This window comes from Homo sapiens, chromosome 19 (assembly GCF_000001405.40).
Source record: "Homo sapiens chromosome 19, GRCh38.p14 Primary Assembly".
Classification (NCBI taxonomy): domain Eukaryota; kingdom Metazoa; phylum Chordata; class Mammalia; order Primates; family Hominidae; genus Homo; species Homo sapiens.
The window spans coordinates 51,037,318-51,052,041 of record NC_000019.10 but is presented as its reverse complement, the minus strand read 5'-3'; the positions used below and the strand labels follow the sequence as shown (position 1 = coordinate 51,052,041).

Here is a 14,724-nt window from a genome sequence, read left to right as displayed (position 1 = left end):
TTACTGCTCAGGGCTGTTGGGAGGACAGAGTGAAAGATTGGCATTTAAAGGCTCTGCACACAGCAACTTCTGAATCACCGATCCTGGTCAATGGAGAAGCAGCATGACACAGTAGCTACGGAACACAGTTTCAGGGGCCAGGCTGCCTCGGTTTGAATACTAGCTCTGTCACTTGTTGAACTGTATAGTCTTCAAATTACTCACCTTCTGTGTGCCTCAGTTTTCCCATTACTCAAGTACGTATAACAATGGTGCTTAACACCAAATGGCTTTAAGACCTAAAAGCAAAAGGTCAAACTACAAAGTTAATAGAAGATAATGGCAGAGGCCGGGCGCGGTGGCTCACGCCTGTAATCCCAGCACTTTGGGAGGCCGAGGTGGGCGGATCACGAGGTCAGGAGATCGAGACCATCCTGGCTAACACAGTGAAACCCCGTTTCCACTAAAAATACAAAAAATTATACGGTGTGGTGGCGGATGCCTGTAGTCCCAGCTGCTTGGGAGGCTGAGGCAGGAGAATGGCGTGAACCCGGGAGGCGGGGCTTGCAGTGAGCGGAGATCGCGCCACTGCACTCCAGCCTGGGGGACAGAGCGAGACCCTGTCTCAAAAAAAAAAAAAAAAAAAAAAAAAAAAAAAAAGAAGAAGATAATGGCAGATAACATTTTTGTGATTTGGGGATTAGGAAGGACTTTTTCTTCCTCCTCCTCCTCCCCTTCTTTTTTTTTTTTTTTTTTTTTTGAGACAGGGTCTCACTCTGTCACCCAGGCGGGAGTACAGTGATGCAATCACAGCTCACTGCAGCCTCAACTTCCTGGGCTCAAGTGATCCTCCCATCTCTCAGCCTGCCAAGTAGCTGGGACTACAGGTGCATGCCACCACACCCACCTATTTTTTGTATTTTTTGTAGAGACAGAGTTTCGCCATGTTGCCCAGTCTGGTCTCAAACTCCTGGGCTCAAGCAATCTGCCCACCTCAGCCTCCCGAAGTGCGGAGATTGCAGGCGTGAGCCACTGTGCCTGGCCTGAGGAAGGATTTTTTAAAACTTCAGAAAGACAAATCTAAAGGCAAAATAATGTTTAATTTCATTACATCAAAGTTAAAGATTTCTGTTCATCAAAAGACACAATGGACAAGGTAAATCAACATGTAACAGCTTGAGAGGTGACATTTGCAGTCTGTACTATTGACTTAAGATTGACATATTGACCCAAATATGCAAGGAAGTACTGCAAAAAAAAAATAAGAATAATGAGCAAAGGATATGAACAGATTTATAAAGAAGGAAACTCAAAAAACTCATACAAAATATGCTCACACTCATTAGGTATCCAAGAAACACAAATACAAATAACAATTGCTTTACATTTGTTAGATGGATTTAAGAAAATTTCAAAGTTAAGTAACCCCAAGTATTAGCAGAGATGTGGAAACACAGGAACGCTTGTGCACAGCTGGTGTGAACGTACATTGGTGTGGTTATTTCAGAAACTAATTTGGCATTGCTTGGCTGAATTAAGTATATGTACATCCTAAGACCCAGTAGTTCCACTTCTGGATGTCTACACAAAGGTAATAATTATGCACATCACAAAGGGGCAGAGATATAAGCTCTCTGTCACACAGTATTTTGCTGTGGTGGAAATTAGAAGAAACCTGGTTACCTATTAATGGGGGAGTGGATGATAGAATGTGGTGGATTCCCCCATGGAGGACTTTGCAGCAGTTAAAAGTAACAAACTAGAGACAGCAATAGGAATCAAATCTTTTTTTTTTTTTTTTTTTTTTTTTTTTTTTTTGAGACGGAGTCTCGCTCTGTCGCCCAGGCTGGAGTGCAGTGGCGGGATCTCGGCTCACTGCAAGCTCCGCCTCCCGGGTTCACGCCATTCTCCTGCCTCAGCCTCCCAAGTAGCTGGGACTACAGGCGCCTGCCACTACGCCCGGCTAATTTTTTGTATTTTTTTTAGTAGAGACGGGGTTTCACCGTTTTAGCAGGAATCAAATCTTAAAGGTATAGTGCTACCAACTACAATGGTGAAAATTTAAAAGACTGACAATACTAAGTGTTGACAAAGATATGGGCCAAGTTCAACTGGCACCACACTACTGGTGGCAATGCAAAATGGTACAACCACTTTAGAAAACATTTGACAACTTCTTTTTGTTGTTGTTGTTGCTGCTGCTTGTGTGTTTTTGAGACAGGGTCTCACTCCATCACCCAGACTAGAGTGCAGTAGCACAATTATAACTCACTGCAGTCTCAACCTCCTGGGCTCATGCCATCCTCCCACCTCAGCCTCCCAAGTAGTTGGGACTACAGGCATACACCACCATACCTGGCTAATTTTTCAAATTTTTTGTAGAGATGGGGGTCTCACTATGTTGTCCAGGCTGGTCTCAAACTCCTGGGCTCAACCAATCCTCCTGCCTTGGCATCCTAAAGTGCTGGGATTACAGGCATGAGCCACTGTGCCCAGCCAGCAACTTCTTTTTTTTTTCTTTTGAGACAGAATCTTGCTCTGTTGCCCAGGCTGGAGTACAGTGGTGCTATTTATTTCGGCTCACTGTAACCTCTACCTCCCAGGTTCAAGCGATTCTCCCACCGACTTTCCGAGTAGCTAGGATTACAGGCACCCACCACCATGCCTGGCTTACTTCTGTATTTTTAGCAGAGACAGCGTTTCACCATGTTGATCAGGCTGGTCTAGAACTTCTGACCTCAAGTGATCTGCCCTTCTCGGCCTCCCAAAGTGCTGGGATTACAGGTGTGAGCCACCTGCACCCAGCCGCAACTTCTCATAAAGTTAAACTTATGCTTATCATACAATCCAGCAATCCCCACTCTGAGGTGTCTTCCCAAGAGAAATGAAAACATATGTCCACACAATGATTGATACATAAATGTTTGTATCAGCCTTATTTGTATTATAATAGCCAGAAACTGGAAGCAACCCAAATATACAACAACTGGTGAATGGTTAAACAAGTTGTGGTATACCCATACTACGGAATACAGCTCAGCAATAGAAAGGAATGAACTCTTGATATGCGGTCAAAAGACTAAATTACAACACATTTAGTTTCAAGATCTAATCGACTGTGAGTTGCAATTCTACAAATGGGCAGTATCTCATTCCACAAAATAGAATGGTGTTCCCATGAGCTGAGCAGAGTTTGGCTTTATAGGCAGAAAAGGGATGAAGGAAACAGAAATAGGGAATAATACGTGGATTGGTCTTTCCAACGTTATGTTTTTAATAGGGTTAAGACAGAGGGAACTCTCTTATCCTGCCAGCTCAGGTCAACTGGGCCCCTTCTGATTCCTTACTGTAAACCTCCTGGTTGTTTGTTTGTTTGTTATTTTCAAAAACAGTTTGATTACATGGCAATTAGCACAAGGGACTCCATTCTGGTTTGGTCTGTTCTGCTAGGGCCTAGTCCAAGAGTTTAGTCCAAAACAATGTCCTTCCCATGAGTGTATTTATCAGCGCAAAAACATGGATGAATCTGAAATGTATTATGCTAGTAAAAGAAGACAAACATGTATACAACATTCTAAAAAAGGCAAAACCATAGAGGCAGAGTGCCCGTCAGTGTCACCTGCGGGGAGCTTTTGCAAAAGGGGCAGAAGGCAGGCAGCTTAAGGATGAGGGCAGTGAGGGAGGGAGACAGGGAGGAGCTGGTTTATGTTTGGATTATGGAGGTGCTTACATGATTCCACCCGATTTCCAAAATTCACCAAACTGAACACTTAAAGTGGATGAATTTTATTTTATGTAAATAATATATTATTAGAAAATGAAAAAGCATAGTTTTTTGTTTTTTTGTTTTTTTTTTTTTTGAGACAGAGTCTCGCTCTGTGGCCCAGGCTGGAGTGCAGTGGCGTGATCTTGGCTCACTGCAACCTTCACCTCCGAGGTACAATTAATTATCCTGCCTCAGCCTTCCGAGTAGCTGAGACTACAGGCACCACCATGCCCAGCTTATTTTTGTATTTTTTATGCTTTTTTTTTTTTTTTCAGTAGCGATGAGGTTTTACCATGTTGGCCAGGCTGGTCTTGAACTCCTGACCTCAAGCGATCTGCCTGCCTCAGCCTCTAAAAGTGCTAGGATTACAGGCGTAAGCCACAGTGCCCGGCCAGAAAAAGCACAGCTGTGCGCGGGGGGCGGGGGGAAAGAAAAGAATAAGCTACGTACCACAATACCATTGATATGAATTTCAAATGCACACAAAACAACACACAATTTGTAAGGACATATACTAATAAAAAGATCTATAACGTCGTGAATGTACTGAACGCCACTGAACTGTCCACTTTAAGTGGCTAATTTTATGATTTGTGAATTTCAACTTAATAAAAGGCTATGCAATAATAAATACAACAGCAAAATACACACAATAATGAGGATAACTGTAAAGGAGACAAGAGAGCGAAAATAATTGCGAAGGATACACAATAATAAAAACAATAGCAAAGGATACACGTTCACAAAGATAACGGCAAAATGTGCACAATGATAAAGACAATAGTAGAAGGGAAGGGAAATAAAAGGGAACAAAATAAATAAGGAAAACAAAAGAGGGATCCTCTCCAAATCACTAATGAAAATGTGCCACCAACGAATTCAACTCTTTCCACCGGAGGATTAGGGACTACCCAAATGTATTCATAAACTTTTTAAAATGAAAAAGAACAGCACTGACTGTGGAATGCATTTGAGAGGATTAATTGAGCTCCTGTGGAAAGCTCAGAAGAACGCCTTGCACAGAGTGAGAACTCAATAAGTGGTAGCTGTCATTTTTTTCAGTATTGTTGTTGCTCTTATTATTAGTGTAACTACGAGGCTGTCTCCAAGGTCCCAGTGCCAGGAGAGCTGCCTTGAGTGACACCTGTGGATTTTGGAGAGTAGGAGGCAGCCACCCAAATCCTGCCTATGGAACAGAAAATAATGACATAGCTGGGCTGGAGATTCTGACTATCAACACCACCTCGACTCAGGAAGGCCGGCCAGGTGGTGAGCTACTCAGCGTTCCCTCCCTCCTCCCCCTTCTGGGATTTCTCAGCCACCTGCCCTCCTCTTCCTGTTTTTGCCCAGGGGAATTTTAATAACAATGGAAGCCTGCACTGGAAAGAATTTGGAGAGAACTGGTGGAGCCAGGAGATGGAGAAGCCTTGAAAAAGGGGGAGAAGCCGGGTGCAGTGGCTCACGCCTGTAATCCCAGCACTTTGGGAGGCCAAGGCGGGTGGACTCCCTGAGCTCAAGAGTTCGAGACCACCCAGGGCAACATGGTGAAACCCGGTCTCTACTAAAAATACAAAAAAATTAACCAAGTGTGGTGGCACATGCCTCTAGTCCCAGCTACTTGGAAGGCTGAGACAGGAGATTCGCTTGAGCCCCAGAAGCGAAGATTGTAGTGAGCCAAGATTGAGCCACTGCACTCCAGATTAGGCTACAGAGTGAGACTCTGTCTCACAAAAAGCAAGAAAGCAAGAAAGCAAGAGAGAAAGAGAAAGAAAGAAAGAAAGAAAGAAAGAAAGAAAGAAAGAAAGAAAGAAAGAAAGAAAGAAAGAGAAAGAAGAAAAGAAAGGAGAAAGAAAGAGAAAAGAAAGAAGAAAGAGGAAGAAAGAAAGAAAGAGAAAGAAAGAAAGGAAAGAAAGAAAAAGAAAGAAAGAAAACAAAGGAAAGAAAGAAAGGAAAGAAGGAAGGAAGGAAGGAAGAAAGAAAGGGAGAAAAGCAAAATGGGGAATCAAGGGGGATTTTGTCAAAAGACGAACCAGGCTTTCTGGCATTTGTCCAGGTTGGCACAGCACTGGAAGTCCTTTTATTCCATTCTCCCAAGGCCTCAGCTGGGTGGAATATCATCCTCTCCATCTTACAGAAGAATGGACCTACACTAGGGAAAATCGCTGGTGATTTAACCCTATCCTGGTTAATGGAACCGCATCTTCGATGGCCCCATGGACTTCACCTTGTTAGCCTGGAGAGTCAGGCCAAGCTCAGCCAGTGCCCCAGGGTGAGGCTTTGTAGCTGGGCCCCCGTGGAACTTTCCAGGCTATTGAGGGCAGTGGGGAATATAAGCCTGTGATAAAAGAAAAACTTTTGCCGAATTAAATTTAAAGGAGTTTAATTGAGCAATGAACAATTCCGGAATCGAGCAGCCCCCAGAATCACAGCAGATTCAGAGACACTCCAGCGCAGCCACGTGGTGGACAAAGATTTATAGACAAAAAAAAAAAAAAAAGAGAGAGACAGAGAAATCATGTACAGAAATTGGTAGTGAGGTACAGAATGGCTGGATTGGTTACAGCTCGGCATATGTCTTATTTGAACACAGTTTGAACACTCAGCAGTGTATGAATGGTTGAAGTATGGCTGCTGGGATTGGCCAAGACTTAGCAGATGTAACAGGTGCATACTACTAAGTTAGGTTTTCGATTCTGCCTGCCTATTAAGCTAGGTTACAGTTCATCCACAAGGACTCAAATACAGAAGTACAGAGTCCTTCTCAGGCCATATTTAGTTTGCGTTAACACCTGTAAACTAAAAATAAAAACCTAGGCCAGACATGGTATCTCATCCCTATAATCCCAGCACTTTGTTTGGGAGGCTGAGGCGAGGAGAATCACTTGAGCTCAGGAGTTTGAGACCACCCTAGGCGATCATTTCCAACGGGAAAATGGAGGCCTCATGCTGGAGCAGGTTGGAAGCCACCGAGTTAAGCTCAGTCTTTCCCCTTTGGCGGAGGAGAATCATGTGGCCTGAGCTCCAGTTCCAGCTCTTCCCTGGCTGGTTAGAGGATCTTGAGGGCGGTCCCTGGTGATTTGAGAGGCTTTGGTTTCCTCATTCTGGAGCAGAGAGCATGAAAATTATTTAGCAGGGTTGTGAGGACAATTAAATGAGATAACGGGCCGGGCACCGTGGCTCACACCTGTAATCACAGCACTTTGGGAGGCGGAGGTGAGTGGATCGCTTGAGCCCAGGTGTTTGAGACCAGCCTGGACAACATAGCAAGACCCTGTCTCTACAAAAAATAAAAAAAAATTTTCCGGGCGTGATGGCGAGTGCTTGTAGTCCCAGCGACTCGGGAGGCTGAGGCAGGAGTGTCACTCGAGCCTGGGAGGTTGAGGCTGCAGTGAGCTGTATTCACGCCACGGCACTCCAGCCTGGGAGACAGAGCAAGACCTTGTCTCAATAAATAAATACATAAATAAATAAATAAAAATTCTAAGCCCCTCACCAACTGAAAGGTCCCCCTTTTGGCCAACGGGACCCCAGAAAAAACTTTAAAACTTAATTCCCTGCCATGATGGGAAAGGAGGTCAGACACGCCTCATCGTACCCTCTATCTTTTGGGGTTTGGCACAACTGACCAGCATTAATGTTAAGATAGAGATTACAGCTGAGGAGACAAACTCTTTGTGACAGCAAGATACCAGGTTATACACAGGACCTGAGGCCATGCCAGGCAAGGGTTACGTCATGCACCGTGCAGGTCGCTCTGACCTGGTGGTTTAGTTAACAGATTTCCTTATGTTAACTAAAAACACTCCTTTCTGCTGACTCCGAATTTTTAGACACAGCTTTACTCCTTTAACCAATTGCAAATTAAAGAATGTCTGAGGCCGGGCGCAGTGGCTCATGCCTGTAATCTCAGCACTTTGAGAGGCCAAGGCGGGCGGATCACAAGGTCAGGAATTCGAGACCATCCTGGCCAACATGGTAAAACCTCGTCTCTACTAAAAATACAAAAATTAGCTGGGCGTGGTGGCAGGGGGCTGTAGTCCCACCTACTCAGAGGCTGAGGCAGGAGAATCGCTTGAACCCGGGAGGCGGAGGTTGCAGTGAGCCGAGATCGCACAACTGCACTCCAGCTTGGGCAATACAGTGAAACTCCATGTAAAAAAAAAAAAAGAAAAAGAAAAGAAAGAAAAAAAAAGAATCTCTGAACTCACCTATAACCTGTAAGCCCATGTTTCAAGATCTCCTGCCTTTTCAGACCAAACCAATGTATGCCTTCCATGTATTGATCTATGACTTTGCCAGTAACTCCTGCCTCCCTAAAATGCATAAACCAAACTGTAATCCAACTACTCAGTGTGCACTTACTCAGGACCTCTTGAGCTTGTGTTCCTCAGGCCATGACCACTCCTATTGGCTCAGAATAAACCTCTTTAAAATATTTTACAGTCTGGCTTTTCCATGAGCAAGCCCAAGTTTTCATTCTAAGAAGTTAAGTGATAAAATCGTAGGAGCAATGAGGAGGCAAGAAACCCCAGTCAGGCTTTCTGGAGGAGGGGACTTTGGAGTTGGGCCTTGAAGGTTGATGCTGTGGCCATCTGCAAAAAATGGGATGGATCTCCCCATCCGAAATTTGGTTCGGATGTCAAGACCGATGATGCCACACGCTCACCGAAGGGTCCTGTTCTGCCTCTGTGGGGATGACTGTGGAGTTGGTGCCGTGAGCAGGGGTCTAGGTGATGACCACCACCAGCACCAGCACCAGGGTCTTTCTCCTCTTGCCTTCTGCTCACTGCACTGCCGCCGGCTGGGTGGCATGCTCTTTGAGCTGGATGCTGCATTTGCTGAGACCTACTGAACCCTCTGTTGCAGATTTAAGCAGCCTAAGTCAGAAGTTTCAAGAGCTGCTGTTTAGGAACTGGAGTAAGAAGCTGTAACCCTGTTTCCAGTGGTCCTGGTTCATGTATCTGGACCCAGACCTCTCTATGTGTCTTGAATTGAGTCATGCATCCTAATGACACCATCAGCTCTCAGAGGAAGGATCTCATTCTGTGACTATTGCTTGGTCTCAAGCAGGCATTAGCTCTCTGTTCCAGGGAGCGCTCTGGGACCAGCAGGTTTTTTCGTTTGCGAGGAGTTTTTTGATACAGGATCTCCCTCTGTTGTCCAAGCTGGAGTGCAGTGGCTCAGTCACGTCTCACTGCAGCCTCAATCTCCTGGGCTCAAGTGATCCTCCTACCTCAGCCTCCTGAGTAGCTGGGACTACAGGTGCACACCACCATTACCAGCTGATTTTTCAAATGTTTTGTGGAGATGGGGTCTCACATGTTGCCCAGAGTGGTCTCAAACTCCTGGGCTCAAGCGATCCTCCCACCTTGGCCTCCTAAAGTGCCAGGATGATAGGTGTGAGCCACTGCACCTGGCCAGCAACTTGTTATAAAGTTAAACCTATGCTTATCATACAATCCAGCAATCCCACTTCAAGATGTCTTCCCAAGAGAAAGAAAAACATGTCCACGTGATGATTTGTACATGAATGTTCATAGCAGCCTTATTTGTAATTGCCAGAAACTGGAAGAAATCCAAATATACAACTGGTGAATGCATAAACAAGTTGTACTATTCCATACTATGCTGAGATCTTTTTATCTTTTTTTTTTGATGCTTACTGAATATATTTTGGAGTGGGAGTGGGTCCTCTCTACCCTATTTATATTTATACTCTACTTTTTCTCCTCCAGAGAGCCTCATATCAGTATTATCAACTTCTTATAAAGTTAAACATACGCTTATCATACAATCCAGCAATCCCACTCTGAGGTGTCTTCCCAAGAGAAAGGAAAACATGTCTACACAATGATTTGTACATGAATATTCATAGCAGCCTTATTTATCATTGCCAGAAACTGGAAGCAACCTAAATATACAACAACTGGTGAATGGATAAACAAGTTGTGATATACCCATACAATGCTGAAATTTTTTAATCTTTTTTTTTTATTATTATACTTTAAGTTTTAGGGTACATGTGCACAATGTGCAGGTTAGTTACATATGTATACATGTGCCATGCTGGTGTGCTGCACCCATTAACTCATCATTTAGCATTAGGTATATCTCCTAATGCTAATCTTTTTTTTTTAATGCTTACTGGATATATTTTGGAGTGAGATTGAGTCCTCTCTACCCTGTTTATATTTATACTCGATTTTTTTTCCTCCAGAGAGCCTCAAATCAGTATTATCAACTTCTTATAAAGTTAAACATATGCTTATCGTACAATCCAGCAGTCCCACTCTGAGGTGTCTTCCTAAGAGAAAGGAAAACATGTCCACACAATGATTTGTACATGAATATTCATAGCAGCCTTATTTATCATTGTCAGAAACTGGAAGCAACCTAAATATACAACAACCGGTGAATGGAAAAACAAGTTGTGGTATACCCACACAATGCTGAAATTTTTTAATCTTTTTTTTTTTTAATGATTACTGGATATATTTTGGAGTGAGATTGGGTCCTCTCTACTCTGTTTATATTTATACTTGATTTTTTTTTTTTTTCCTCCAGAGAGCTTCAAATCAGTATTGTCATGGTTAGGGGCCTTCCCCATGGCAATGGTGGCTTTATGGGGTTTAAGGACCCCAGGGGTTAAGTCAGGTCTAGATTAACTGCTTGGCAGCCTGGACAACATCGTGACATCGTGAGACCGCCATCCAAGTTTATGTTCACTCCTTTCTTTTCTTTCTTTCTTCCTTTCTTTTTTTTTTTTTTTTTTTTTTTTTTTGAGATGGACTTTCACTCTTGTTGCCCAGGCTGGAGTGCAATGGCACGATCTCGGCTCATCACAACCTCCACCTCCCGGGTTCAAGCGGTTCTCCCGCCTCAGCCTCCCGAGTAGCTGGGACTACAGGCAGGCACCACCATGCCCGGCTAATTTTGTATTTTTAGTAGAGATGGGGTTTCTCCATGTTGGTCAGGCTGGTCTCGAACTCACGACCTCAGGTGATCTGCCCGCCTCGGCCTCCCAAAGTGCTGGGATTACAGGTTTGAGCCACTGTGCCCTGCCCTAAGTTCATTCCTTTCTATTGCTGAGCAGTCTTCCATAGTATGGAATATCACAACTTGTTTATCCATTCACCAGTTGTATATTTGGGTTGCTTTCAGTTTCCAGCAATTATAAATAAGGCTTCCATGAATATTCATGTACAAATCATCGTGTGGACATATGTTTTCCTTTCTCTTGGGAAGACATCTCGAAGCAGAATTGCTGAATTGTATGATAAGCATATGGTTAACTTTTTTTTTTTTTTTTTTTTGAGACAGAGTTTCACTCCTGTTGCCCAGGCTGGAATGAAGTGGCACGATCTAGGCTCACTGCAACCTCTGCCTCCCAGGTTCAAGCGATTCTCCTGCCTCAGCCTCCTGAGTAGCTGGGATTACAGGCGTCTGTCACCATGCCCAGATAATTTTTTGTATTTTTAGTAGAGACAGGGTTTTACCATGTTGGCCAGGCTGGTCTTGAACTCCTGACCTCAGGTGATCTACCTGCCTTGGCCTCCCAAAGTGCTGGGATGACAGGCGTGAGCCACTGTGCCTGGCCAGCATACATCTAACTTTATAAGAAGTTGATGGCCAGGCACAGTGGCTCACACCTATCATCCCAGCACTTTAGGAGGCCAAAGTGGGAGAATCGGTTAAGCCCAGGAGTTTGAGACCAGTCTGGGTAACATAGTGAGACCCTCATCTCTACTAAAAATTTGAAAAATTAGCCGGACATGGTGGTGTGCACCTGTAGTGCAAGAGGAATAAGTTTAAGAGATTTACTGTATTAATACAACATGGTAACTCTAGTTAATAACAATGTACCATAGACAGCAGTCCCTCCTTATTTGAGGTTTCCCGTTCTGCAGTGCAGGTACCTGTGGTCAACCGCAGTCCCACAATAGGTGGGTACAATTCAGTACAATAAGATATTTTGAGAGAGGGAGACCACATAACACATAATTTTATTACAGTGCATGGTTATAATTGTTTTATTGTATTATTATTCATTATTGTGGTTCATCTCTTACTACGCCTAATTTATAAATTAAATTTTACGATAGGTACTCTCCATGATCTTGGAACATATTTTCCCTGGATAAGCGGGGACTACAGGACTCAAAAATTGCTAAGAGAGTAGATTTTAAGTGTTCTCACCACATGCACACAAAATAAGAATGTGAAGGATGAATGTTAATTAGCTCAACTTAGTCATTCCACAATGTATATGTATTTCAGAACATCATGTACCAGCCCAGTGAGGTGGCTCACATCTGTAATCCTAGCACTCTAGGAGGCCAAGGTTGGAGGATCAAGGATTGCTTGAGCTCAGGAGTTCAAGACCAGCCTGGACAACATAGTGGGACCTCCTCTCTACTAAAAATAAAAATAGAAATAATTGGCTGGGCATGGTAGTGTGCATCTGTGGTCCCGACTACTTGAGAGGCTGAGGCAAGAGGATTGCTTGAGCTCAGATCAAGGCTGCAGTGAGCTATAATTGCACCACTGCACCCCAGCCTGAGCGACAAAGCAAGACCCTGTGTCAAAAACAAAACAAAATATCACATATCCATTAAGGCCCCCATACCCAGTATTACTTTCCATAGAATCAGCAACTGGCAAATACGTTACCGTCGTTGGATTTGGCTGATATGCTCTGTTCCAAGGCTATTTCAACAGCCTCTCAGCTGCAGCTAGCCTTCACCGTGGAAAGGATACAATACACCTGACCCAGCTGCTCCTGGGGAACCTTGAATCCTGGCCACTACTGCAGGTGCAGTAGTGAAAAGGTGCAATACCTTTTTTTTTTTGAGATGGAGTCTTGCTCAGTCGCCCAGGCTGGAGTGCAGTGGCGCAGTCTCCATTCACTGCAACATCTGCCTCCTGGGTTCAAGCAATTCCCCTGCCTCAGCCTCCCGAGTAGCTGGGATTACATGTGCACACCACCACGCCCAGCTAATTTTTGTATTTTTAATAGAGACGGGGTTTCACCATGTTAGCCAGGCTGGTCTCAAACTCCTGACCTCAGGTGATCTGCCTGCCTCGGCCTCCTGAAGTGCTGGGATTACAGACATGAGTCACCGTGCTTGGCCCGCAATACCTTTTTCTTATGCATTTCAAAGTCCATGGCCAGCACCCCTATAACAAAAGACAGGTTAATGAGATAAAAGCGTAACAAGTGGATTTAACAGTTTTATGTGACATGAAAGCCTTCAGAAATGAAGACCCAAAAACTCAGGGAAAATTGTGTCATTTTGAGGTTCAATGAAGAAGGCGTTGGCATGTAGACATGTGATGTGAAAAACCAGGTACGATCTTGGGAGGCCGAGGTGGGAGGATCATGAGGTCAGGTGTTCGAGACCAGCCTGGCCAATATGGTAAAGCCCCATCTCTACTAAAAATACAAAAATTAGCTGGGTGTGGTGGCAGGTGCCTGTAATTCCAGCTACTCAGTAGGCTGAGGCAGAAGAATTGCTTGAACCCAGGAGGCGGAGGTTGCAGTGAGCCGAGATTGTGCCACCGCACTTCAGCCTGGGCAACAGAGCGAGACTCCATCTCAAAAAAACCCAACCAACTCAACAAACAAACAAAAACCAAAAAACAGGTATGATCTCTTGGTCATAAATTGAGGGGGGATCCCAGCAGGTCCCATTTGTTCAGATTCTTCTGGGCCTTTCTGTGTTGCATTTCTTCCTCTGCAGGACACCTGTCACATGAGGGTCTTCAGGGGAAAAGGAATTCTAGTGTCTGTGACTGCTTCAAAGGAGAAGTAAGGGGAGAGGAGAGGAAAGCAGGAGGAGGTTGGAGAGAACCTCTTGTTCCTGAGGTCTTCCAATCTCCTTCAGCTCAAAGCACTCAGCATGCTGAAGTTCCAGACTCTGGGCTATCACGTTCTGACATGCAACACAGGCAACACCCCAGCTCCATCCACGTTTCTCCAAAAGCACAGGCATGACGTCATATGGTGACAAACACCCTTGTCCAAAGGAAGCCCATAGGATACGCTAATTCTAGATTCACAAATACTCTAGAGGAACTCACACAATGGGATGGGCCAGTGCCCCACACAGAGTATGAGGCCTCCCACCTTGGTTGAATATCTTTTTCTTTTTTTTCTTTTTTTTTTTTTTTGAGACGGAGTCTCACTCTGTCACCCAGGCTGGAGTGCAGTGGCTCGATCTCGGCTCACTGCAACCTCTGCCTCCCAGGTTCAAGTGATTCTCCTGCCTCAGCCTCTGGAGTAGCTGGAATTACAGGTGCCCACCACCACAACTGGCTAATTTTTGTATTTTTAGTAGAGACGAGGGTCCACCATGTTGACCAGGCTTGTCTCGAACTCCTGGTCTCAAGTGATCTGCCCACCTCGGCCTAGTGCTGGGATTACAGACGTGAGTCACCACGCCCGGCCCCACCTTGGTTAAATTTCTGAAAATCATTTGGTAAAGTGAGGACCCCTCCAGCTGAGACACTGCCAGGAAACAGCTATTGAGTCTCTTAGCACCCACAGCATTAAAACAAACCCAAAACATTTTAGGCCTCGTTGAGTTCTGGAGGCAAAATATTCCTCATCTACAAATTTATTTTATTTTATTTTTTAATAAAAGTTATTATTATTTTTTTTTATAGAGAGACAGGGTCTTGCTCTGTGACCCAGACTAGAGTGCAGTGGTGTGACCATGGTTCACTGCAGCCTCCACCTCCTGGGCTCAAGCGATCCTCCCACCTCAGCCTGCCAAGTAGCTGGGACCACAGGTATGCCCCTCCCCCAGGCTAACTTTTTTTTACTTTTTGTGGAGATGAGGTCTCACTATGTTGCCCATGCTGGTCTTTTTTTTTTTTTTTTTTTTTTTTGAGACGGGAGTGCAGGCTGGAGTGCCCAGGCTGGAGTGCAGTGGCACAATCATAACTCACTGCAGCCTCAAACTCCTGGGGTCAAGTGA

The 14,724-nt window shown here is 44.5% G+C and overlaps 1 annotated feature.

The window, feature by feature from the left end:
- Positions 13,426–13,926: an enhancer, noted in NCBI's record as "H3K4me1 hESC enhancer chr19:51541373-51541873 (GRCh37/hg19 assembly coordinates)". NCBI's record gives its function as "activates a minimal SCP1, AML or CMV promoter by ChIP-STARR-seq in naive H9 embryonic stem cells {active_cell/tissue: H9 hESC(naive)}" and the evidence as "EXISTENCE:reporter gene assay evidence [ECO:0000049][PMID:30033119]".